General features: G+C 40.3%; 7 annotated features.

Moving 5' to 3' along the window:
* Positions 9,373–9,553: a silencer, noted in NCBI's record as "fragment chr6:137410449-137410629 (GRCh37/hg19 assembly coordinates)". NCBI's record gives its function as "represses an EF-1alpha promoter that drives an FKBP-Casp9 reporter gene in an ReSE screen in K562 erythroleukemia cells {active_cell/tissue: K562}" and the evidence as "EXISTENCE:reporter gene assay evidence [ECO:0000049][PMID:32094911]".
* Positions 14,381–14,430: an enhancer, noted in NCBI's record as "active region_25129". NCBI's record gives its function as "activates an Ori minimal core promoter by ATAC-STARR-seq in GM12878 lymphoblastoid cells {active_cell/tissue: GM12878}" and the evidence as "EXISTENCE:reporter gene assay evidence [ECO:0000049][PMID:35858748]".
* Positions 14,451–14,700: an enhancer, noted in NCBI's record as "active region_25130". NCBI's record gives its function as "activates an Ori minimal core promoter by ATAC-STARR-seq in GM12878 lymphoblastoid cells {active_cell/tissue: GM12878}" and the evidence as "EXISTENCE:reporter gene assay evidence [ECO:0000049][PMID:35858748]".
* Positions 16,108–16,247: an enhancer, noted in NCBI's record as "active region_25131". NCBI's record gives its function as "activates an Ori minimal core promoter by ATAC-STARR-seq in GM12878 lymphoblastoid cells {active_cell/tissue: GM12878}" and the evidence as "EXISTENCE:reporter gene assay evidence [ECO:0000049][PMID:35858748]".
* Positions 17,161–17,330: an enhancer, noted in NCBI's record as "experimental_90355 CRE fragment used in MPRA reporter constructs". NCBI's record gives its function as "activates a minimal promoter by MPRAs in K562 erythroleukemia cells, with activity observed for the non-introgressed 6:137418322 variant allele {active_cell/tissue: K562}" and the evidence as "EXISTENCE:reporter gene assay evidence [ECO:0000049][PMID:34662402]".
* Positions 17,926–18,095: an enhancer, noted in NCBI's record as "experimental_90356 CRE fragment used in MPRA reporter constructs". NCBI's record gives its function as "activates a minimal promoter by MPRAs in K562 erythroleukemia cells, with activity observed for both the introgressed and non-introgressed 6:137419087 variant alleles {active_cell/tissue: K562}" and the evidence as "EXISTENCE:reporter gene assay evidence [ECO:0000049][PMID:34662402]".
* Positions 26,182–26,241: an enhancer, noted in NCBI's record as "active region_25132". NCBI's record gives its function as "activates an Ori minimal core promoter by ATAC-STARR-seq in GM12878 lymphoblastoid cells {active_cell/tissue: GM12878}" and the evidence as "EXISTENCE:reporter gene assay evidence [ECO:0000049][PMID:35858748]".

Here is a 27,059-nt window from a genome sequence, read left to right on the forward strand (position 1 = left end):
TTTGTTTGAGTTCCTTGTAGATTCTGGATATTAGTCCTTTGTCGGATGTATAGATTGGGAAGATTTTCTCCCACTCTGTGGGTTGTCTGTTTACTCTGCTGATTATTTCTTTTGCTGTGCAGCAGCTTTTTAGTTTAAGTCTCATCTATTGATCTTTGTTTTTGTTACATTTGCTTTTGGGTTCCTGAAATCCTTGCCTAAGCCAAGGTCTAGAAGGGTTTTTTTGATGTTATCTTCTAGAATTTTTGTGCTGTGTAACCAATTGTCTTCGGTTGGGTCCCCTGAAAACAGCTCTGATATGGAGATGTATGGGCAGCAGTTTATTGGTGAGTGCTCCAAGGATCAACACTGGGAAGGTGCAAGGGAAGCGATATTCCTAGAGAGGCACAACTGTGATGTAGTTTCAACAGAAGCTTTGGCCAAGCCCAGAAGGGGCCCTGGAGCTGGGATGGCCATTCAGAGTTGTTCCATTTATAGCAAGGGGCTACTGGGCCTTGGAACCTGCAGCCATTAGTCCCTGGGTGCTGGATGCTTCCGAAGAGGGCAGCATACTTTGAGTAAAGCAGCTTTCTTCAGCCAAGGGCAGTTCCATAAGAGAGACATAGCTGTGTGCAGCCAACACCTCTGGCTGCTGGGAAACCAATACTTCAGTCTGAGGTTGGGATCTTGGTGGTACAGCTGAACCCCACTACAGAAATCCTGCCAGACTTCACACAGTGGGTATTCAAGAAATTATTGATGGGTTCTTTTAGTTCTATAAAACATGAACCTGTTACTATTGCAGGGCTTTTTCCTTAGCTCAGCTAAAGACAGGGGTCCTTATCACACGGCCAGGAAAATTTAGGCTCGCAGATGATTGAAGGGTGAGAATTATGGAATTTATTGGGCAAAAAGGAAAAAAAAAGGGGAAACAGGGACTTTCCGCAAGGCCAGAGTTCCTGCTGGGGTGCTTCCCAGCCCACTGTTTGCACCCCAGGTTCCACACAGGAAGAGGAGGGGCCGGGATCCTCCCTGCTGCAAACAGCAGGAACCTCTGTGGCTCCATCCCACTGTGCATTCCTCCCAGGGCCCAGGCAGCTGGAGTTTTTCCAGGGAACCCCTCCCACCTGGCTTTCTCATTATCTTGACCCTTCTTTGCTTCTGTCTCTGCTCTCAGATTCAATCTTCATTGACTCATCATTTCTACCTTTTATTCTTCTGAATATCTTCACCTGGCAGAAAAGGAAAATTGGACTAGAAAGCCTACTATCCAGCAGGCAGTATGCTGGGGACTTCACATATGCCCTGTTTCCAAATACTAATGTTTATTCTTTTTGTCCTCCAAAATTTGTTAAAACTATTTTACCTCTGTTCCATCTTTTTATTTCTGAGATTTTGTTTCATAAAATTGTTCTAAACTTCATTTTTAAATGAAGACATCTGGTGATGGCATGTACACTCATTGCAGGAATGAAATGAAAATAGACAAGAACCAAAAAGATATTTCCCCAATAGCAATTAACCATATGAATTGCTTCATTATTTTATTAAGTTACTAAAATTGATACATACTTCCTATTTAACTGTAATTTTGCAATGGCAAGAGCTGTAAATAAAGGTCATATATTTATATATGTGTATATTATTAGTAGATTTCTGCAAACAATAATTGCAATAAAAATAAATTTTTAAATGAATCATTTCACAGCTCTCCATAAGCCTGCTAAATCCTATATCATGCACTCTATAATTCTTAATGAGATATTTATTTCTAGTCTTTTGTAGCCCCAACCAGGTAGTAAAAATGAAATGATGTCACCTGGATTGCCATATCATTTTGTCCATATGACCTATTATCATCTTTTAAAAACTTGGATTATTATATTTTTATCTTAGAATCTGCTCACTATTTTGATCTATTTCCTCTTATGGTTTTGGGTATTAAATATTCAGTCTAGTGGCATTAGCACAGTACTAGAAGTAAAATAGCCTGGGTTTTAGAATGAGCCTTGGTTTTCTCACATGTGAAACAGAATTGATGTTCGTATCATATGCTGCAGTGAGATGGGTTAAGAAAAACTATGGAGAAGAGGTTTGAAAACAGTAAGATGTTGTAAAAAATGAAAGTATTATTACTAAAATAGAAAGATATAAGAAGAAAGAAAAGTAAAATCTGTCCACTGGCAGTGGCCTGTCTTCCAGGCATTTCACACAGGTTATTTCACAGCCATGCTGCGACGCAGGTATTGTTTATCCCCATTTTATGGATGAGAATGCTGAGGCTGAGAGAGGCTCAATAACCACTTGATGCCATTGATTGGTAATAGTGTCTGAGTCCTAATTCACATCTAGCTCTTTGGATTCCGAGTCTTGCCTTCTTTCCACTGCACCAAAACTGACTCTCAATTAATTGTGGATAATCAGTGGAAATCAGTTTACTCTTGGGAATCTTTCCATTTATGCCCCCTCCCATTGCTTTCAAAATCACCTCTGGTGTGTTCCTTGAAATCTTAGAGAGGCAGTGGATTGTAATTTAAGAATTTTTGCTTATAGCAGCACAGTTTACCGTGTTGCCCATATTTGTTCTGGATCAAGGGATTGGAACCCTCAAATACATGTCAGCACTGCTAGTTATATATATTTTTCTATGTCTAATTGCAATCCTTAGTAAGAAGAAATAGGTTTGAGGATGCATCTTTCAGGTCAGTTCCAGAAGGTCGGGAGGTGCAAATGAGCTGAGCTGTTGATTCAGTTGAGATCATTTTGATGAGTACATGCTTGCATGTGGGTCTATAATGTGGTTCATCTCCATAAAATCCCAAGCTTTATGGGTTTGAAAGCATTAACTCATGTCTTAGAAACATCCCACATAGATTATTATAATTCTTGGTGCGCTGCCTGACCATCTGCTTACCTACAGGAATTACAATCACATGTAATGGCCCTGCGCAAATCTAGGCTCAGAAAAGAAATATGAGAATACCTGAGTCCTTTTCTGTTCTGTTGAAACAGCACTATTTTTTACACCCTGCTCAGCATAATAATGAAAAATGTGTTAATTTGTGACTTTTCTTGCTTCAAAATGATGAGAATAGGAAAATACTTAGTTATATACTTTTTCCTCTTGTTGTTCTATGAGAATATATTGATCATCTCATGCAGCATCCCTCCCTTCTTTCCTTCCTTCTCCACAGATATTGTATTGACAGCTGTTAAGTGCTGGCACTGTGCTAGTCTGCAGGACACAGAAGCAAACAAGCAGTCACAGCACTTGCCCTTATAAGCATCACACTCTAGTGGGTGAGACAGACATTAAACATAATTTCACTGAGAACCTTGGGATTACACTTGTTGTGAGTGCTATGTTTGAAAATTCCTGGATGCTGTGAAAACAATGGAGGGGAAATGAGGAAGAATAATTTATTAGCATTTTCTTACATGAGATTATTTTTCTTGTTATTTTGTTGTCAGAAAGAAACATTACAGAATTCAACAGGCCATCTCTCATGGCTTTCTTTTCTACTTTCCTCTCCACTTCTTGGCCATTCTCAACAATTGCCTGTGGGTGTTTTGAGCGAATGTAATTTTATGGGCAAATAGTTATAGTTCCAATTCCTTTACTTAGTCTAAAAACCACTATGCACCTCCGTCCCCCGAAGCTGACATTTTAAAAATTAGTATTTATGTTTTTATTCTATTTTTCTTAGACACACTCCTAATATTGTCTTGTTTAGGTGCATGTATTTTTCAAATACTGCTAGCTTTCAACTAAAGACAGAAGTCTAATTTCCATCTAAGCTCAAAGAACTTCATAAGAGTTTTATCTTAAAAAACAATGCTGATCTTAGCAGGTAACTAGGGCAGGCCACAGGGAGGAAATGAAGAGGGATTCAGGCATTCTGGTGCTGGGATAAGGCATGGGAAAGCAGAGAATGAGTTGGTGCAAATCCCAGGCCCTAGCATTGTGTGGGTGATTCTGGTACTCTAAGGTTTGGCTTTGAAATGTGGCTATAACCTTTTAAAAAAATTTTAATATTTTATTTAATCCAATATATCAAAAACATTATCATTTCAATATGTTAGCAAAATAAAAAACTATTAATAAGATATTTTGCATTTTTTTCATACTAAGTCTTTCAAACTAGGTATAGCTATGAAATTTTTTTCCAGCTGGCTTCACTTCCTCTTTGTTTACTTATAGAAGATCTTCCAAAGTATGCCTGTGAACATTAATTCTGTGGAATGTTAACTAGTGTTAGATGAAAAAAAGAAAAAATAAAATTATTTATGGTCAAATACATTTCCTTTTCTTTTCTTTGTTTAAGATAGGGTCCTGCCCAGGCTGCCCTGGAACTCCCAGGCTGGAGCAATCCTCCCAGTTCAGTCTCCCAGATAGCTGCGCCTACAGGCACGGGCCCCCAGGCTAAGCTCCAGCGAGTTTCTTTACTGCAAGACTTTTCAGAAATTTTAAAATCCAAAATGCATTGTGAATCATCAAGAGAGGAATCCGAAGCAGTTATGCTCAAATCTATTTGATGATGAACCTCTTTTTTACAGAACATCTCCTAGGACTAGTATTGCTTGCAATGAAGTTTGGAAAACATTAGGCTTAGATTACTTTCTAAAGAAATTTATTCTTTTGAAGATACCAACGGATGTCAGGGAAGATGCTTCATAACATGTAGCATAGCAGAGAAGAAAATGGGTCTGGGATGAAAGTGTTGTTACAGATAATCCACAAAATGGCTAATTCATAGGGAACAAAGTCATTTAAAGAGCTGACAGTTACTATGATTTAATTGCACAATGGCATGGTGAAGATGAGCACCAGTGTAGTTTTTATCTATACTGTGAGATTTGGTGATAGCAATTCATCACTAGTTCTTTTAGGATCCATTATGTGAAGTTAGAATCATTTTGGCTTAATTCTTTTAATCCACCAGAGTTGATTTTTAAAAAATTCTTTTTTCACTCATTTGGTTTAAATATCACAAATTTGTAGTATTTCCATCCTTCTTTTACTGGAATGAATGTCCTGGTTAGGATATGGCCTCACCAGAGATGAATAAAAGTGAAATACAACTAAATGCTGCATGATTTCATAACTCTGTAAAAACATATCGACCAATTTGAATTGCTCTATGAAGATCACTTTCTGTTTATTTCAAAACCAGCTTTCCTAATTACTCTCACTTCTATTTTCAGTAGGACTTTATGACGTCTCTTTGGATTCTAACAAATGTTGTAATTCATTGCCAACTTCTTTTTCCTAATGTACTGATAGAAGTAAAAAGTATAGTTGTACTTTTTTTCCTCTCTGGCATCTGAAAATAAAGTTTGCATTCTCTTTCTGAAACTAGATTCTTAAATCTACCTTTCTTTATCATCCTTTAACACACTGGCCATATAGTTAGAAAATTTACTTAAAACACAAAGTATAAACACATTTCAGATAGATGGAACTGTCCCCACTTGAAGTTAAAAACAGGATCCCAGCTCATATTGCAGATTGAAGGTGAGAGATGAATGAGGAAGTAGAATTGAGAGAAATGGGTTTTGATTTTGACATTAGAATTCAAAATTCTACCAAGTATGTTCAAATAGAAATCATGTTTAAAAGCTATAAGAGTAAAAGGGAACTTCACATTAAAATATTTTTGTAAAGAAATGAAAATGCATTTGTTCTCATTCAGTTCTGCTTTTGAATTCTTATGTGACCTTTCCTGGATCCCTCTGTGCTGCCCAGACATAGGAAATATTCTCTCTGTGAAATGGATAAAGCCTTCCTCAACCCCACAAAGTTTAATGAATCATTTATTACGCCTCCACCTTTTTGCTAAGCCCTAGAGTAATTAATCTTTGTTTTTAAAGTACTCTAAAATGCTAGGTCATAAGGTGTACCAGATTAATAAATTATTGTAAAGCATTTGTAAATAAGGAGGTCTTGTCTAAACATTACATATTATAAGAATGGGATGGAAGTGAAGCTTAAGATCACCTCTTCCTGGGGTGTCCTCCTATCAACCCAGCTCTTGGAATACTCGTCCTTAAATTGTCAGATTAGGTTTCTCAGTCAGTTCAAAAGTGGAATTTCTTCCTTTTCTTCTTAAATTTCATTAGGATGTAATTCCGATCCTAATATGTTGATTTTTCAGCTATAAAGAAATTCAGACATCTATTCAATAATTATGGAGAGGCAGATTATTTACCCACATGGCATTCTCTTCATTTCTTTCCTGTCCACTGAGTGAGGAAAAACATCTCCATATATGGAGAGGGTGTCTCTTAGTGTTGGGTTGGGCAGGTGGCTGATTGAGCATATGGTTTGGGACCATGGCTTGGGGAAGCTATGATTCATAGAAGGTGAGCACTCAGGTACTTGAAAATGATCATTCATTCACTCAGTATAGATTGAGCACCTACTCTATATCAGACAATATCTTTGCAGGGTCAGAGACCTGAACAATGTGAAATAGAGCTAAGGTTGAAATTGTTATCCATTGCCAGAAGGCCTGGATATTTCCCAGGAGTGGCTTAGAACAGATAGAGGGGTTTATAATAATGATCTGAGTTTGTTTCAGTCCTCCCCTGCTGTTGGGCTTCCAGATATTTAAAGAGCTGGTACTTTCTGCTCTGAGTAAAGGTTTTGATTAAACTGGGATTGTAACTGCAGTAGTTCGTGAGCAATTCAGGATAATGCTATCAATGATACTCCATGGTTCTTGAAATATTATACTTTAGAAAGAACTTTCAAAGGAATTAATTACTTTAACCTTTATAATCCTGTAAGGTAGAAGGCTTTGACCTGCCAATATCACATAAACAGTAAAATCAGGAGTGTCTGACCACATGACCAGTCTCATTTCTCTCCCTGATCAGTGTTCCCAGGGCTTAGATCAGGGATCAGCAAACTACAGCCTGTAGGACAAACCCAACTGTTTTTAAACAGCCCCTGGCCTAAGAATAAATCTTGTCTTTTAAAAGGATGATAAAAACGAAGAATATGTGACAGAGACAGCAAGTGGCCTGCAAAGTCTAAAATATTTATGTATGGCGCATTATAAGAGTTTGCCAACCCTTGGCTTAGAGGCTTATATACAGGTCTTCCTGCTGTGTAGGGACTATTAGCATAATCCAGTCCAGAAAAACATTTGGAAAAATTAACAGTAACTCAAAAGAGTGTTCAAAATTCTTGCAAAAATATTTTAAAAGGCAAAGGCAAAACCGTTTGGGTTTACTGAAGAGTGTGAAGAATACCAACTGAAAATAGACTGTCTGTGGCTCTGCACCAGGGATGTGTCAGTACCAGCCTGTAAAAGCGGAATGTACACATCGCTTCCCATCTCCAGGTGCAGTGATGTCAAGTGGATAGCTTAGAATCGACCAAAATAGAAATATTTATACTTCAGAAATTGGCAAAATCTACAAATTGGGGACTTTTCTCCTCAGAAATCTGGTTTTGAGACATTTACCATTATACTACTAAATGTATGTCATTTGACGTCTGAAGTCATTTATAACCCAGACTCATGTATTTATCCTAGTAATAAGGAGACTTGTGTTTTGAAATTTAATAGAAGCCATTTTTTTACCTGATAATTGATAAATTTTCTTAGAAGCTGAAACTGAGGGCATATATAGATATATATGATCTATATAAGGAGAATAATAAAAATAACTAGATTATTGGGTTGTTATGAGAATTAAGTGTGTTAATAGATGTAAATTTTCAAAGGTAAAGCATTTAAAGCAGTGCCAATATTAGTTTCTATTATTTCCATATCCAGACTCTAGTTCTGTGGAACACAGCACATTCAGACTAATGCCATCTAGGCTGAGTCTGGAGCTGACCCTGGGCTTGGAGTTGGGGGAATGGTTTGTCTATCTTTGCTTCGCCATTTCCCACCATGTATTCTGAGGCAAGTCAACCTCAGTATGCCTGACTCTTTTCATCAGTAGGCAAAGCTTAATGTCACCCACCTTGCCAGTTAGTGGGAGGATAGACAAGATAATACCTGGGAAGGCGCTTTGCTAATGGCAGCATACCACATAAGCCTAAGGTATTATTATCTCACAACAATACGATCTTGAAATGTGTGCAGTAAGACTCAGGCTGACATTCTGTTGAAAAGAAGAAATAAATGAGTCACGTCTTCCTTTGCCTCTCACCCTTTTCTGTCAAAAGCAGTAAATCATTGACCAAAAATGAAAACAAGGCTGTCAGAAAGGCTCATATGAAAGTTTTATTCTACTTAAATAAACTCTGAAGGCCTATATGTTATAGCAAAACTAAACTATTGACTGGAAACCAAGATACTGAACACTACTACTGTAGAAACTAACATGAGGCTGGGCATGGTGGCTCATGCCTGTAATCCCAGCACTTTGAGAGGTCAAGGCAGTTGGATTGCTTGAGCTCAAGAGTTTGAGACCAGCCTGGGCAACATGGCGAAACCCCATCTCAACAAAACAAAACAAAAATTAGCTGGGCATGGTGGTGCGTGCCTCTAGTCCCAGCTACTGGGGAGGCTGAGGTGGGAGGGTTGCTTGAGCCTGGGAAGTGGACGTTGAAGTGAGCCAATCCAAGATCATGCCACTGCACTCCAGACTGGGAAACAAAGCAAGACTTTATCTCAAAAAAAAAAAAAAGAAAATAGAAAGAAAGAAAGAAATGAACACAAATGTGCTCAATATAGCTTATCTATTTTTCTATTATAAAAAATACAATTTTTACTTAAAAAGTTTTTATTTTACCTTCTTTTTAAAAATATAAGTTGTGCTATGTATTTGCAAAATTGGTTTTATATTGATACATTTTATCACTATTGCACAAATTTGTGAACAAATTTATTGTAAAATACTATCTAAAAATAAAAAGCTAAATAAAATGATAAATGTTTAATAAAATAACTGTTAAGAGTGAGCTGAGAGAGAGCAACACTTACCTTCTTATTAATATTTGCTACTAGCTCTCATGCATATGAATCCCCTTGGCATGTGGTTCGAATGCAGATTCCATTGCTGTGTGAGGTGGGGCCTGATACTGTGCATTTCTCCCAAGCACCCAGGTAATACCCACGCTGCTCTTCTGCAGACCACACTTTGAATAGCAGGTGGAGGCTATGCAACAGTTAGCAGGGAAAAAAAGGATTTTGAGTAGCCGGTGGAGGCTATGCAAGAGTTAGCAGGAAAAAAAAAGGATTTTGAGTAGCTGATGGAGGGTATGCAACAGTTAGCAGGAGAAAAAGGATTTTTTGAGCCTCCACTGACTGACTGAAAATTGTATTGTGGCTGCCAGTTGCTGAGGTCTTCAGGAGATAATGCACACCTCCCCTTTTTTTTGAATAAGTTCTAAACTAGTTGAAAAATGAAAGAAAAAGGTAAATATTGAAGCTAAAGTCTCACCTTTATTACTAACGGGAGTCTAAGGTGGAGGATGCAGCTTAGCATGAGAATCAAAGGGGCTTACTCTCTGACTGGCAGCCGGGCCCATTTACTCACTCTGCCCCAGCAGCACTGGCCTGCAGCAGACAGACCCCTCCTCCAGAAAAGCAGAGAAGAGCTCCCGCACTCTCAGGCTGGCTCACTCCCAAGAGGAAGAAAGGCCAGGCAGAGCTGAGAATGCCTCGTTAGTCTTTCTAAATTGACGAGTCAGGTAATGAAAGGGCTGGAGGGTGGCCAAGAGTTCTGATACCTTGCAGAAGTAAACATCTCAAGGACCCAAGAAGCAGTTCCCATTAATGTCAGTGATGGAATTGTCTTTTGAAGAAGTTATTTACTCATTTTTGGTTTTTGGTTTCCTATAAATACCTTTCTTCTTTTATTCTGGAGTGGTCCCTAAAAGTTTGAATCATGATTTAGTAGTTCGTTTCTGTATACACCACTTGGTGCTGTGGATTGGGGAAGGGTCAAAAGCCAGGCGTAGGGTGGGCACCTCGTGATTTAAGGAGAGGGGAGCAGATGAAATGCAGGAGGCCTCATGCCCAGGCAGAAGGGCGCAGCCTGGTCCACTCCCGACTGCTGCCTGTGTACCAGGTGACTCTAGGCCAGGCCAGGTCTCCATCTTTAACCCTTAGTGGGGAGGTGCCTTGGAGGGAGACAAGCTCCTCTGGACTCCTCAGCAACCTAGTGGTTTAGACAGGGGAGTTGTCTGCACCTGTTTTTGTCAGCTTTTCACCTGAGCTGTACTTTTGTGCTGTTCACATGGAACCTCTTTGCTATGGAATGAATGTTTGTGCCACCCCCGAATTCACATGTTGAAACCTAGTCACCAGTGTGATGACATTAGGCAACAGGGCCTTTGGAGGGGGCGATGAAATATGAGGGTGAAGCCCTTGTGAATGAGATTAGTGCCCTTATAAAAGGGACCCCAGAAAGCTCCCTCCCCCTTCTGCTATATGAAGACATAGCAAGAAGGTGCCATCTGTGCACCAGGAAGAGGGTGTTCACCACATACGGAATCTGCCAATGCCTTGATCTTGAACTTCCCAGCCTCCAGAACTTGGAGAAATAAATTGCTGTTGTTTATAAGCTACCCAGTTTGTAGTACTTTGTTATGGCTGCCCAAACAGACTAAGACACCCCTGGACTCTAGACCAGGCAGGGATTATCATGGGGCAATGTGGGGAAAGCAAGAAAGAACCTCAAATGTCTCTCCTGGTCTCACTGCCTCCACCAAGGAGGCATCTTCATCTCAATATTATATAGGATGGAAAACATCAAGGTAATAAGTAGAGCTTAAATCTGCATAGAAGTCAAGAATTGGGGATGCAGAGGGCAAAAACTAAGAAGAAATGTTCAGAGAGTCACCAAAATTAAACGTCTCATAGGTGAGAGATAGAGTTATATATACTGAAGAAGGTATAGCAAATAAGCAAGCCGAAAGATGCTCCACGAATACCGTTATCATTAGGGTGATGCAGATTAAAACCACAATGAGATATACCTCTATTACAGTGGCACAAATCTAAAAAAAAATGGACAATATCAAATATTGGTGAAGAGGAGATGGAGCAACCAGAACGCTGTCACACTCTTGATTGGAACATACAACAGTACGATCACAACAGAAAATCATTTGACAGTTCCTTAAAAAGTGAAAATACACTTACTATAGGTCCCAGCCTTTCACTCCTATGTCACTCCTATTTACCCAAGAAAAATAAAAGCATCCGTCCATACAAAGAGTCTGTCACAATGTGTGGACGAGACTATTTGTAATATCTCTAAAGTGGAAACAATCCAAGTACCTATCAACAGGTGAATGGATAAACACATTGTGATATACTCGTATGGTGGCATTCTACTCAGAAATAAAAAGTAATGAACTATTGATATAACACAACACATGGATGAATCTCAAGATAATTATGCCAAGTTAAAGGAGCCAGACAAAAATAGAATATACTATATGATTCTCTTGATATGAGATTCTATAAAATGCAAGCTATCCATAGTGAAAGAGAGCAGACAAGTGAAAGATTGCCTGTGGACAGAGAGGAGGGTAGGATGGCGAGGTGGGACAGAGTACACAGGGGTGTGATGAGACTTCTGTGGATGATGGATGCATTCAATATCTTAGTTGTGGTGATGGTTTCATGGATGTGTGCTGATGTCATAAGTTATCAAATTGTGCACTGTAAATATGTACAATTTATTTTATGGCAATGGATGTAATTTGGTTGCTTTTCTCCTCCAAATGTTTTTCCTCTCATGTTGAAATGTGACCCCCGATGTTGGAGGTGGGGCCTGGTGGGAGGTGTTTGGATCATGGGGATGGATCCCTCATGAATGGCTTGGTGTCATCCTCATGGTGATGAGTCTGTTCTCACTCTATGAGTTCACATGAGATCTGGTTGTTTAAAAACAGCCTGGCACCTCCTCCCCGTTTCTCCTGCTCCCCTCTTGCCATGTGACATGCATGCTCCCCCTTTGCCTTCTGTGATGATTGGAACCACCCCGAGGCCTCACCAGGAGCAGATGCTGGTGCCATGCTTGTACAGCCTGCAGAACTGTGAACCAAATAAACCTTTTTTTCTTTGCAAATTACACAGCCTCAGGTATTCCTCGAGCAATGCAAATAGACTAACACAGCAATTAAATGCCAATAAAACAATTAATCTTAAAAAACCTCACTAACCTTTTTGGAGCACCCTGTTTATTGCTGTGGGTGTGTGACAGCTGGAAGACAGGGCTCATGGAAAGGTCAAAGGAGGCATGGGCACCCATTCCCCTTGCCCCTGTTGTTGCTGCAGATGGTATGTTGCTCAATATCATATCAGTATGACTACCCGGAATCCTGGGTGATAAGAAGTACAACTGGAGACTGGGACACACACAGTGACTGCTTCTGCAGTGTGGGGATTCTGTATAAAAGCCCTTCCCCCTGGCTCTAGGTACTGGCCACCCTCCCAAGGGATGTGAGATATTTCTGCAATCACTTACCTCCTTCCTCCTCCTGTTTCTCTCCAGCCTGTGCAGTGCAGGGAAGAGCACTGGCTCTCATGCCATACTGCTGGGGTCTGCTTTTGTGCTTCCCCACCTGGTGGCTCTGAGATCTTAGCCAAGCACTGTACCTTCCTGGGGCTGCTGTAACAAAGCACCACAAGTTGGGTGGCTTAGAACAGCAGAAATATGTCGTCTCACAGATCTGCGGGCTGCAAGTCAGACCATGATGTTAATAGGGTTGATTCCTTCTGAGGGCCACCAAGGAGACTCTGTTCCAGGCCTTACTCCAAGCTTCTCGTGGTTTGCCAGCAATCTTTGGCATTCTTTGGCTTGCAGCAGCATAATTCCAGTCTTTTTTGTGTGTATGACAGGGTCTCTCTCTGTCGCCCAGGCTGGAGTGCAGTAGTGCAATCTCGGCTCACTGCAACTTCTGCCTCCCGGGTACAAGCGATTCTCCTGCCTCAGCCTCCCGAGTAGCTGGGATTATAGGCACCCACCACCATGCCCGGATAATTTTTGTATTTTTAGTAGAGACAGCATTTCACCATGTTAGTGGGGCTGGTCTCAAACTCCTGACCTCAAGTGATCTGCCTGGCTCGGCTTCCCAAAGTGCTGGGATTACAGGCATGAGCTACCGTGTCTGGCCATTACATGGTATAATCACTGTGTGTGTGTGTCTGTGTTTTCACATAGCATTCTTTTTGAAGGACACCAGTCATATTGGATTAAGGGCCCACTCTACTCCAATAAGACCCCATCTTAACTAATTACATCTGCAACCATCATATTTTTGAATAAGGCCGCATTTGGGGTACTGGGAGTTAGAACTTTAACATATGAATTTTGTGGAGACACAATTCAACCTTTGAAAACAACAGATTTAACATCTCAGTCTTCTCATCTATAAACCAGGGATATTAGTAACATCCACATTGCAGAGTTGGTGTAAAAAAGATTCAGTCATTTCCTAGACAACCGCTGTAACCAGCTAAGCCTTGAAGCCACATGCTCAGTCATTTAGAACATGTTAAGCACATCGAGACATCTCTGGCTCACAGCTAGCAGCTGGTAAATGTGAGCCATCATTATTTTTCACAACTACATGTGCAGATTTTGACCCTGGGAGAATTTTTTGTTCTAGATTTACACACTAACACCCCTCCCATCTGACCTTTGACCAAGGTTTTTACTACACGTATAAAAATAATAATATAAAGGAGTATGAGCCAAGTACTAAAGTCCTGAGGAGGTGATATCTCTGTGTGCCAAGCAGTCACGGAAGCCTTCATGGGTGATGTTAGAAGACTGTTTTAGTCTGTGCTTGCACTACTATCAAGAACTATCTGAAACTGGGCAATTTATAAAGAAAAGAGGTTTAATTGGCTCATGGTTCTGCAAGGCTGTGCAGAAAGCATGGTGGCTTTTGCTTCTGGGGAGGCCTCAGGAAGCTTCCAATTGTGGTAAAAGGCAAAGGGAGAGCAGGAGTCTTACATGGCTGGAGCAGCAGCAAGAGAGAGGAAGTGGGGAGGTGCTGCACACTTTTAAATGACCAGATCTCATGAGAACTCACTCACTATCATGAGAACAGCACCAAGGGGATGCTGCGAAACTACTGACAAGAAATCGCTCCAATTGTCCAATCATCTGTCACCAGGCCCCACTTCCAACACTGGGGATTACAATTTGACATGGGATTTGGGTGGAGACATGTATCCAAACCATATTACAGACCTTGAAGATGGGGAAGGGGATTGAATCCTTTGATCAAAATCCCATTTTGTGCCTCTGATTTTGGGAAAAATTACTGATCTTCCTTGAACTTCAATTTCTCTATAAAATGGCAATAATATAGTTGTTGCATTGATTAAATGAGACAAGGTAAAGTGTTTGTCAGATGCCCCAAACCCAATAGGTGCTCAGTGAATATTTTTTAAAAATATAGAAGTTATGTTGTGGGCAAAGACTTGGGCAAATTATTAGGAACAAGACTGTAGCTTTTGGGCAGAGCACAGTTGGACTTACTGGCTCAGTAATTCCACATTTGAGTAGAACAACAACTAGTTTCTCAATGATGACACATCAGGATCAAACACCCGGGGGACCTCTCCTGCAATTGCTGTTCTCTTTGAAGAAGCTCCTTTTAAATAGAAGACAGTACCTTGAAATATGGCCACAGGAGGTCAGTAGCGTGCTGTGGTTCTACGCAGAAGCAAAAAAACAGTCCCCTCTAAGCATCTTTAAGCCATAAATTCCTTGTTGTAAACTAAGAATATGTTATTCCTTCCATATTTTCAGATAAATTGACAGCTAAGCTTAAAGAAATTATGCTTTCAGCTTGTAATATGGAATAGACAGGCACTAACTTATTCTTAAAGACTCTTATTATGACACGGCTGTGTTTGAAGAAATGGTTTTGTTTTGTTTTTTAATGAAACCTGTGTTTTGGTCAAGAGTGTTACCACATTCAGATCACAACTTTTCTAAGGAAATACACTCAAAGACACCTAACATTTGAGTGAGATTAATCATAATGTAAGATTTCTGTGATGTGTGCAATGGGGCTTCAATATCTTAGATCTCACCATGATGGGCAATTGCTTGTCTTTTTCGAGCCTTGATTTCTCATCTTTAAGACAGGAGTGACGCGGCTGTTGTCATAATTAAGTGAGGAAATGTAGTTAAAGCACCGACCACCAAGCCCTAAACATTTTGTGCTTCTGGATGCCCAGTATCCTTCCTGTTTGGGGAGAATCTGAAGATGGGTGAGGGACAGGGCTTGTCCCTCGCCGCAATGGAAGTCAAAGGGGGACGATCTTTCTTCGACTCTTTGACCCCTGGCTGCTGGAGCATGGTCATGTGACCAAAGCGTGGCTGGGCATCTCAAAGGCTCAGCCACTTGCATATTATTTGTGATGTCAGGTGTAGGCTAGTGGCGTAATAGCAAGCACCCGGGATCAGCAGGTCCCTGCAGGATGTTGGCGGGGCTTTGCCTACCTTCGTTTCTGCCTAAGTATGCTGAGTTTTCCCAACAACGCTGGGAGCTTATTTATATCCTTCTAACAAATTCAGGTTAGCCAGAAAATCTACTGTTGTTTGCAACCCAAAACACTGAAGAGTGTAAGATTCAAGTTTAAGTTTATGGTAAATGTGCAAAATTACTCGTTAAAGGATTCTGGCTGGTATATAATAGAGTTTTCTCCTGAGGTTTTTTCCACAGTACAATCGATGATTGTAAAAGAAAAGCTGAATAATTGAAAAAAGGCCTAGTGTTTTGACATGACAATAGAAATAATATTTACTAGACACAGAGAGCAGGGTTTCAACCATCCTGTAATTGTCAGCCATGCAGCAGGGCTGTCTGAGGACAGCTGTGCATGTAAATCATCACTGGTTGCCTGGATGAGATAACTAGGTTACTGGTGGCTTCCCCTTCTTCTGGCTTCAGAGGTTGCACCCAAACTCAGTTTCCCATGGGCCCAGTGACTTCCTCTCTCATATCCTCCCACACCAGACCTTCAATGAGACTAAATGGAAATATCTCTGAAATCCACTGATGAGAGAGCAGTAGAACTAACACTGTATATATGTGTGTGTGTACATACTTCAGTATGAAAACAGGAATTCCTATGCATAAATGGCATAACAACACCATATGGCCCCTCACCAATGCATCAGAAGGTAAATAGCTTCTCTTCAGATGATGTTAGAAGAATCATTTGTCCAGTTATTCAAGTTAAATGTCATTTACTTTTGAAATGTTTCTTTGTGATTTAAAGCCTGTCACTAAAAACAAACCCCACACCACCACCACAAAACAAAAACCAAAAAATAAAAGCAAACCACTGCTCTTTGCTTCTCAAACTCTCTCACTGCCTGATATCACACTCACCAGGAAATTTTCTTGGTGATAGAACTTCCATTTCCTCACTGTCTCCCTCACCACCTACCCTACCTCCCATCAGCCCTGGCCTTGGGAATGAAGTGGTCAGAGAAAATGATCTCCTCATAAATGTCTGATGAAAATCGGCTTGCCACCCTGTAACATGGGAAGACATTTGTATCATCTATATTCTAGGTTGATCATAAAACCATCTTATAAAATTGGTTAATTATGCTGGGGTTCAACTGTTTATTATGTCAGACAAGTAGGGTTTTGGGGCAGGTCTGAGATGAAGAGATTGGTAGTAAGGGAAGACTCAATTTATAGCTTTTATTACCAGTAAAATCTGAAGCCTTGCAAAACCTCAATGGTGCCCAATTATATAAAAACATGGTAATTTTTCTTGCATCATCAATATTTAAAAGCCACTTGGCTGACCATGTTGGGACACCTATGTTTTGAAGCATGTGAGGAAACATCTGTGAGCACATTTACAGTATTCCATCAAATAATACGCTTCAAATTCAAGAGGAGTAATTTCAAATTAGTAATGTTTACAGACATGTCTGCATCCATTGTACCTAAAAGAAAGTTAAAATGAGATAAAAATCTGGGAAAAAAAGGTGGCAGCTCATTTCCCACAATCTCCCTTGCTTTTTTAAACTCTTACTTTGAACTTACTGCTTTTTGCATGATAGTCTTCTGCCTTAATTCTTGAATTTTCCAAATTGATGTTAAAGTCTTTAATGACTCCTTTTTATACCAAATAACTCTCTCTTTTTTTCTTTTTACCAACTCTCTGATATGCAAATGTATGTCTGGAGTACCATAAAAAGGATTTTATTTTTCAAAAATAAACAAAGGGAGAATGTAGGTAACAAAATCTAATACAGAAGATGTATTTAACATCATGGTATAGTAGAAAAAAACAAGTTATTCTGTCTTGCATCATTGATGTTTATAAGTCACTTGATGAGCCATTATGAAACATCTCTGTTTGTAACATGCAAAGTTAACAGCTGGGTCATATTTATAGCATTCTACTCAATACCATGCCTCAGAGTCCAGGTTGAGAATTTGTGATTTGCAATTGATAGGCATATTTGCCTTCAGACATTGGAAAACTCTGAAATAGGAAAAAATAATGAAGACATTGTAAAGTATTTCTTTCCCTCTGGCAAGTAAAAGATTAATTACTGTTAGTATACCAGCTCTTTCTTATAAGAAATCATCCTGAAATCCTAAAATAGCCGCTTCATATCAGAGTGATATCCAGAAGCCTCTTTCAATATCTGTCCTAAAGGACAAAATGCCCACCCTCCAAACAGTCGAAGACAGATTTTTCATGGGGCATATTGTTGAATTTTGTGATGAATCTTGCTGAATTATTTAGCCTTTGGCAGCAAAATGTGGCTGGGAAGAACATGGACTGCGTGGCTTCACCACAGCAGCTCAGGTAGATGTCCTTGGGCTTGAACTTTCTGAACTTTGGCTCACTCTGATGAAATGGGAAAAACAACGGCAACTTTACAGAGTTGTTTCAAAGACTATATAAGAATTACAATAATAGCTAAGATTCTTGAAAAAATTTCCATTTGCCAGACACTGACTAGAAAGCTTGATATAGACTTGTCATTTCAAACAGATCAAATCTATATGGAAAAGGCACTTCATGAATTAGGCCACAGAAATGTGAATTTATTCCTCCTTCCTCTGTTATTTGAAACTCTCATAAAAGGGACTTTTTTTTTTGAGACGGGATCTCACTCTGTTGCCCAGGCTGGAGTGCAGTGGCACGATCATAGCTCAATGCAGCCTCCAACTTCTAGGCTCAGGTGATCCTCCTGTCTCAGCCTACTGAGTAGCTAGGACTACAGGTGTGTGCCATCATGCCTAGCTAGTTAAAAAAATTTTTTTGTAGGGGTATTGCTATGTCCCCTAGGGTGGTCTGGGACTCCTGGCTTCAAGCTATCCTCCTGCCTTGGCTTCCCAAAGTGCTAGGATTACAGGCCTGAGCCACTGCACCTGGCCAAGAATGATGTTTTTTTTTTTTTGTTTTTTTGTTTTTGAGACACAGTCTCGCTCTGTCACCCAGGGTGGAGTGCAGTGGCGCAATCTTGGCTCACTGCAACCTCTGCCTCCCTGGTTCAAGCGATTCTCCTGCCTCAGCCTCCCGAGTAACTGGGACTACAGGCGCGTGCCACCATGCCCAGCTAATTTTTTGTATTTTTAGTAGAGATAGGGTTTCACCATGTTGGCCAGGCTGGTCTCGAATTCCTGACCTCAGGTGATCCACCCACCTCGGCCTCCCAAAGTGCTGGGATTACAGGTGTGAGCCACCGCACCCAGCCGCCAAGAATGATTTTTAATGAGAACCTAACAGCTTAAAGGACATAGCTATGTACCTTCCCATTTCCCAATAGTTGAAGAGCCTTAAGATTTTTTCTACTTTTTGTTTGTGTTGCAAAATGAGTATTATAATTTAATCCCTTTTCTGTTGATAGGTGTGAATAGTATTTTGCTTTAAGTTTTAAAATTACTAATTAATTGAACAATAAAAAATTACCAAAATTTGTATTTCCCTTTATAAAACTGCTTATGTCTTTTTCCTATTTATTTATTGTTTTCATGTTTTTCTTATTGATCTATAAGAGTTCTTCATATGCTAAGAATATTAACTTTTTATTCATTAACTGTTGCAAAAAACTTTACACCTCTCTTTTTGTCTTTTAATTTGGTTTATGCTAAATTTTAAGACTCATAAAATTTACAGCTTTATGGGGTTATAAAGTCTATTAGTCTTTTTTCATTATGACTTCTTCCATTGTTTCTATATTCTAAAAGCTATTTACCTTCCAGAGATCAGAAAAATAGTAAAGTGCTTTCTTCTTTTTTTATTTTTTTTGAGATGGAGTCTTGCTCTGTCGCCCAGGCTGGAGTGCAGTGGCATGGTCTCGGCTCACTGCACTCCGCCTCCCTGGTTCACGCCATTCTCCTGCCTCAGCCTCCTGAGTAGCTGGGACTATAGATGCCCACCACCACACCTGGCTCTCTGGCTAATTTTTGTATTTTTAGTAGAGACAGGGTTTCACCGTGTTAGCCAGGATGGTCTCAATCTCCTGACCTTGTGATCCGCCCGCCTCGGCCTCCCAAAGTGCTGGGATTACAGGCGTGAGCCACCGCACCCGGCCTGCAAAGTGCTTTCTTCTAAGTTTATTTTTGGTTTGAGTTTTTTCAGTCTAATTCTTTGGTTAATCTAGAATTTGTTTTGATGCATGGTGTGAGAGGAGAATGAGAACTTTCTTTTGGCCTAACCACAATGACAGGCCCATATATCTACCTGTTAAAATAAATGGAAAAAGACACCCCAGGCAAACACTCAATGCCAAGAAATCAATTAGTGGATTTTCTTCTTGGAAATACTATCTTGTTACAAAGGAGAAAAATGCTTAGGAAACTTTTATATAACTTCAGGTTTAGCCCAAGATTTTTTAAACACAGGAAAATCTCTTTCCCTTTTTTCTTATTCAAGGCATACAGTACGTTACTTTTACCTTATTTCAGAGTATCCATGTCTGGTTTTGTTGATGTATAAACACTTGGAGGCTTCTCTCTCTCTCTCTCTGACTCTCTCGTCACACATACATATCTTCCTCATTTGGCCACCCCCTCACTTCCTAAACCTTGCATGAAAAAAAAAAAAGGTTACCTTCAGGTGAATGAGTAACTTAGAGTTGTGATACAAAGGACTTGCTGGGTTAATTCCCTGCCGTGTTGCAAGTTAAGACCTCAGGAGGGATCCTGATTGAGATTGAAGCTATATACATAAATAAATCCCCAGCCGAAGCTTGATTTGAATAGATATATGGGAGCTGGGGACAGAATTGACCAGATGCTGGACCATATGATAAACACAGAGGATCACGGTGTGGTATAAAACCTGGGCAGTTCCATGGTACAGCTGGCCGTGCATAATCTTCTGCTAATTTATAAGGCGGGAGCATCTGCTCTTTCACTGCCACTCTCCAATTTTCTAACAACCTTATCCTTGGGTCTCTGGTTTAAAGCAGCCCCATGACGTGGCAGGAAAGAAAGGAGGGTTATCACCAGGGAAAAATGACACTGCCCAGAATCCTGACTTTCAGAGAAAAAAGAGAAAAGGCCTTGATTCTTATCCTGACTAAGCCTTCTTTTTTGGATAGTGTCATTTTGAAATCATTCTTTTAGATAGGGCATCTTGGGTTGCCATCACGGGATAGTGTCTTTCTCTATAAGAAGATTCTTTCTGCCCCTTAATCTATTAGAGGAGGCTGGGCACCATGGCTCATGTCTGTAATTTCAGCACTTTGGGAGGCCGAGGTGAGTGGATCACTGGAGTTCAGGAGTTCAAGACCAGCCTGGCCAACATGGTGAAACCCCGTCTCTAATAAAGATAGAAAAATTAGCCAAACGTGGTGGCTCACGCCTGTAATCCTAGTTACTCAGGAGGCTGAGACAGGACAATCACTTCAACCCGGGAGATGGAGGCTGCAGTAATCTGAGATTGTGCCACTGCACTCCAGCCTGAGCGACAGAGTGAGACTCTGTCTTAAAAAAAATAAAAGAAGTCTGTAAGAGAAGAATTTAGGCCAAACTAAAGCCTCAGATTGCTTTCAGTTGAGATAATACTGTTTCTGTTTAATTCAAAGCAACTAGTATTTTCTGGGGACTACATAGGCAAAATTGAGAAGCAGGAGTTATAATGCCCTCCTGGCCCTGGAACTTCCCAAACACCCATTGAGAAGGCCTGTCTCCCTACTCATGATTCTTTCTCCTCTTACTCTTTCGACTTCCTGCCAGGCAGGTTGGGGTTATGGTGGTGGCATGCCTCTCATTAACTACTACATTAGGCCCAGCTTTCTGCTACATCTTTGTTTAACCACATTGATGTATTAGTTGATAGAGGCTTAAAATATTTTTATCTTAAAAGAGACATCTGACACTGATGTTAAAAGGCTCAAAGGAATGAATATCTTAATGACGGAATTTCATTTTCTGGGACTCATAGGTAAAATAGTTTAACGAAATGGATGACGTTACCTTCAAATAACACTCTCTGGAAGAAACTCATTGGTCTAGGGATTAGAAGAGGTTTTAGTCCTTATTCTGCAACTATTATAGCCTCTGACATTGGTCACACCACTTAAGCCCGCTGAGCCTGGAGTCTCAATACCTTTTTCCTTTTGAATGGCAGAGAAAAACAAAACAATACACTTGGAAATTACTCCCTCAGGGCTTTTGGGACAGCTCCTTTTTTTTTTTTTTTTTGCCTGAGCCCTAGAAAGGGATCTGAGGAATTTTCAATTAGAAAGTGGGAGTATACTCCAACATGTAGATGACCTTCTTGTATGTAGTCCAACCCAGGAGGCATCTGACCAAAAAACCTTAAAACCATTTTGCATTCCCCGGCACTCGAGTCAGAAGAGTACGTGGATCTGCCACTAATGGGTGGGCTGGGATCACGACCTCATTCATTGCCCTGAGCTCCTGTACCATATGGTATTCCCCCAAAGGCTTCAAAATGGTCAAAATGAGGGTATTACAGGGAGAATTACAGGATTTCAGAAGTCCACGGGCAAGCAACCCCTTAACTACAGACACTATGCCCTTTCTTGCTTCCAGCTTAATTGGGTATTGTTTTCTGTTGGGAAAATGACTGGGGTCTTTGAGCTGTATTTTGATGGGCACTGCCATTCTAGCCCTTCCAGCCCTCCCAGTACACCATGCTCGTGGGTTGACCTGTTTGTGTACAAATGCGACTGTCAAGGATGCCATAAAACTCATAGACAAGCTTAGGCTGCTGTCATATTAGAACTCATCATATAAATGAATTTAAGGCCAAAACACTCAATGAATGTTACATTTATGACCTTCTGAAGTTGCCCTTTGACCCAGCATCACCTTGGCCATTTGTATCCCCTTGAGCCTCCTTCCCTCCCCATCTAATGGACAGTGGAGTAGCAAAGGCTCATGTCCAGTGGTTGAGATGATTTTTGCAGTGCTATGCGTGCCATGGGCAAGGGTCAGGGCAAAACTTTGACCCTGTTGATCCCTTCTCACCCCCTCCTTCAGCTTTACTCATTTCTCCTGGGCCTGTGTGCCATGTTTGAATGCCCTCAATTTCTCACCATGTCCTGCTCAAAGACCGTATTCACTGATGGTGCGCTGGCTTTTGGTATTATAAAGATTCCCAAATTCCTCTGATCATAAGAATCACCTGGGCTGCTCATCTTGTAATTCTGAGTCAGAAAGTTTGGGGTGGGGCCTGCTGATCTGTGCATTTAACCAAGACTCTGGGTGAGTCTCATGATCACATGAGTCTGAGACACATGGATTTAATGACTATGAAAGTTGAAAGATGCCCCTGAGATCATTTAAACCAGTGGTTCTCAAAGTGCAGCTCCCAACCAGAGCATCAGTGTCACCTGGGATTTGTTAGAAATGCAAATTACTGACTCTATGAAAAAGGAACTCTGGAGGTGGGGCCCAGTTCCCTGTGTTTTCACAAGCCTTCCAGACAATTATTGCATAGGCTAAAACTCCAGACTTGCTGATGTAGACCATCTCTCTCCTGTTATCCTCTATTTTACAGATAAGGAATGTTGGCACTCTGTCTATCACTTTGGGACCTTGGGTGTTGAAGTTGGGGAGGGGGACAAGTGCTACAATCCCTAGGTGATTGTGAACAGGGTGAGAAGAGAGATGGTAGAGGGCTCCTGAGAATGGGCCATCAGTGGTGTGATCCTCAGCTTCCAATCCCTATTCTCTGAGCCTGAGGTCTTATCTGTAGACAAGGACTCATGTTTGCTGAGGGTGCTGCTAAAAGACACCAGGTGTCTGAAGGGCCAAACCTTTGTGGTAAACCAGAGCTTAGATGTTTATAGTAACTCTCCACTAAGAAATCCCCTGAGAACCCAGCCACCAAGAAGCCCCAGTTCCTCTAAAGAAAGACATGTCTCACTCTCAGAGAAGTTTCAGCTCTGCTTTTGGTGGTTAGTGCCTGCCCATTCTCAGGATGGTTCATGAAAGAGTCTTCTACTTAGTGCTGTGGAATAACCATCTGAAATTGTAAGCTGTGGGTAGATAGTACTGTGGTGTAATCACACATCTTCCTGTCACACTGGTGGGAAGGATCAAGGGTTCAGCATAGTTCAGCCATCCCTGTTATTCTCAAAACCAGTGTTCCCAAACTTCAGTCATTTGGCTATAATTTTCACAATGTTTCTAAATTCAAGTACAATATGTATTGTCGTTTTATCTAATATTTTTCACTTGCTCAACTTAAAAAAACTAAGAATATTTTCAAATTTTCAAAATAATTATGAAGATAGTACAGAGAGTTCTCATATATATACCCCACGCCTGGTTTCCCCTATTGTTAAAATCTTATATTAGTATAGTACATTTGTCATAAATAATGAACTAAATTAATTGATACATTATTGTTAACTAAAGTCCATGCTTTATTTAGTTTTTACTTAATGTCCTTTTTTTTCTTTTCTGTACCTGGATCCCATTTAGGGTACCACATTAAATTTATTCATCACATTGTATTTGGGTCCTATTCCAGACCTAACAAAAAGTGGACTGATGCAAAAGAATGACACTCTGGTTAAAGCTATTGCTGTGAGTATTAAAGCCCTTTGTCTCTGATCCAAGAGTCTCATGTCTTCTGCCAGCATCTAAGAAACACTGACAAGTCAATTAGTTAGTTTCCAGGTAGGGTAAAGGCTTAGATATCTTACAGTTCTTGAACTTTTTTGTTGCACAATTGAAGTATTCAAAAAGGGTAAAAAAAATCAAGTTTTTAAATATTTAAACTAATTCAATTAAAGTATAAAAGGCCACTTAAAAGTGATGGTTAAAAGTTGCCAGATTCATAAACAAAGTAATAAGGTTTATGAGTTGGACTTAAAAATTCAAGGAATAATGAGGAATTTAAATTTGTAATTTTAATAAATAAAGTATTAATTTAAGAAAATCACAGTATCCCCTTAGTAATTTTTCCTGTCTATAAAAGCCCCTATCAAGGATGCCACAAAACTCATCTAGATAAGCTTGGGTTGTCATATTGGAACTCATCATATAAATAAATTTACCCAAAATTGTTTATGACCATGAATGACAAAGCTTTACTGTGCTCAAGCACATTTGCATTTTAGAATAAGATAAACAGCTTTGTTCAAAGAATGAAAGTCTAATGGTGAAATTTTGCCGCCATTGCAGGGCTAGTGCCCCTCATGTCACATTATGAGGTTAGCTTCTTTTACAGATTCAAAGGATAAAACAAGGGCCCTCTACTTTGTCCCTGCTGAATTCTCGAGACCTAGAACAGGCACATAATTGATGCTTATTAAAGATGTACAAATTAATGATCAGATTTTAGCCAGGGCCAGATTTCAGTTTTAGAAACATCACTCTGGCTGTAATATGAAAGTTAGATGGAAGAGGTAACACTAGAGAGGAGACCAAGCAGGAAGTTGGTGGCAAACCCTGACAGTAGACACACGGCCATGGCTTCCAGGGTTTTGGACTAAAATCCTACCCTCTTCAGGAAATAACTAGTCTCATTCTGGAAAACATCTGTTGGCTTATTAGTGGTCTCTGAGGGAGGCTAAAAGCCTGACCCTGGGGTGCCCTGTGACCATGTGGCCCATACTTCTCATCATGAATGGGTCTTCTCTGGACCATTAAACCATGAAGCAGGAGGAGCATAGCAAGACTGGATCCAACCTTACAGCACAAATAAAACTGCAGGATGTCAAGGATCAATGGACAAGGTGACCTGTTCTGTGGACATGTGACCTACTCAGTTTCACACTCTGGCATTTTCTCAATGTGCTCGTGAGCAAATGTCTGTGCAGTAAGGTCAGGGGTCCCACATGGCTCAGAAGAATAGGCCTCCTCTCACTGAGGCTGACTTGGCTGCTGCAGGCCTGAGTGTCCCGTCAGTCAATGGCAGGAAGCAGCCCGTGAACATCTTGGAGGGGGCAGTGATTTGTCCTCAATGGGGGAGACACATCCAGATTTGGGTTTGCCTTCTGAGCCCATCATACTCATGTGACTTATTGAATGTCTTATTCACCAGGGTTTTTTACCAAAACACTGCTTCTGATTAAGAACTCAGTTGGCTTTGGGTCTGCTTACTTCCAGTCAGTACCTGGGCCACTGACCACTCTCAATGTTCTTTTCTGCACGTGGATATTCAGGCTGACCTATTTCCTGGCTTGTAGGTTTGACACACTTTTCTTTCCTGTTTGAATCGTAGGTACCTTGAAGCTATCTGAAAAAAAAAAAATTGGCTTGGGTAGAAAGGCAACACCCTGGATTTGTTCTTTGCCTGAGGCTTCCTCTCTGTGTGGCTGAGGAGTCTTAACAGGCCTTTGAGAAAGGGCGTGAGTACTGGTTTTATCACTTGCAGCTCTGGTTCAATTAAGTGCTATTATAAGCCTCTTTACGTATCAGTTGGCTTTTCAACCCTTAACAAGTCTCTTCTTTTTGGATGCTCTCTACTTTCTTCCAGCTCTGCTTGCAAACTTGTCAATTCTTGTCTTAGTTGATCACTTTTTTAAAAACCTGTTTATAGACAGCAAAGAGAAGCCAACACAGATTGACATTTGGATTCTTTCCAATAGCTTCATTTGAAGCAATAGGAGAAGCGATCTGCTTCTCCAGTTATTGTAGGTAATAGCTTTGCCAAATGTTTTTTGACAATAGAACAAGGGTGGTCAACATTTTAGCCTGAAATACCCACGTCCCCATCACCTGTGATTCTCTCATTGTACCAATGCCACATCTTAGGTTTCAGTTATGGCAGCACTATGCACATTTCTGTATTATTTAGGGCAAGTGCCCAGCTGCTGCAAAGAGAAGCCAAAATGCCCTGGTTTAAATAGGATAGATATTTATTTCTCTCACATATTACAGTGCAGTACAGTGCAGGTTCTGTTCCAGGAAATCATTCAGGGATGCATTTGAGTGAAGTCAAGCAATTGTCTTCAAATCATAGCTTCCACAGCTGCTAAAGACATAGAAAAAGGAAAGGTGATTTGAAAGTAAACATCTTTCAGAAGAGGAACTGGAAGATGAACATACCAATTTCATTCATTTCCATTTGGTGAGAACTCAGGTAATTGGCTACATTTAGCTGCAAAAAGTTTGAAAAAAGTCATCTTAAGTCGGGGCAGCCCCACCGAAGAAAAAGTGAGAATAGTTTTGGGGGGTTAACCAATATTATGGTCAGCATACTGGTCTACCTTATTCTTTATAGTGCTTATGTAGCATACGACTTAACAGATATACGGTAATTTTTCAACCATGTCCCTCTTGGAGGATTTTTAGATTGTTTCCAATATATTGCTATTATAATCCCTCTTTATACATAAATATTTGTGCCCTGTAATTTTATAATTTGTGTCCAAACTGCCCTCTGAAGTTGTATTATCCTATCCTCATACTAAGGGTGCTGGCTTCCCCATGGCTTCACAAAATTGCGTCTTATCTGACTTTTTAGTTTTTGCCAATTTATTAGGTAAAAGATGGTGTCTTGTTTTAGCTTGCATTTAAAAAATTATGTTTAGCATTTTTTCCTTCCTTTATAAAATCATTTTCTTTCTCCCTTCCTTCCCTTCCTTCCTTCCTTTTTCTTTTTCTTTCTTTCTTTTCATTCCTTCATTCCTTCCTTTTTTTTTTTTTTGAGAGAAGTCTCTCTCTT

The sequence above is a fragment of the Homo sapiens genome, chromosome 6, assembly GCF_000001405.40.
Source record: "Homo sapiens chromosome 6, GRCh38.p14 Primary Assembly".
Lineage (NCBI taxonomy): Eukaryota > Metazoa > Chordata > Mammalia > Primates > Hominidae > Homo > Homo sapiens.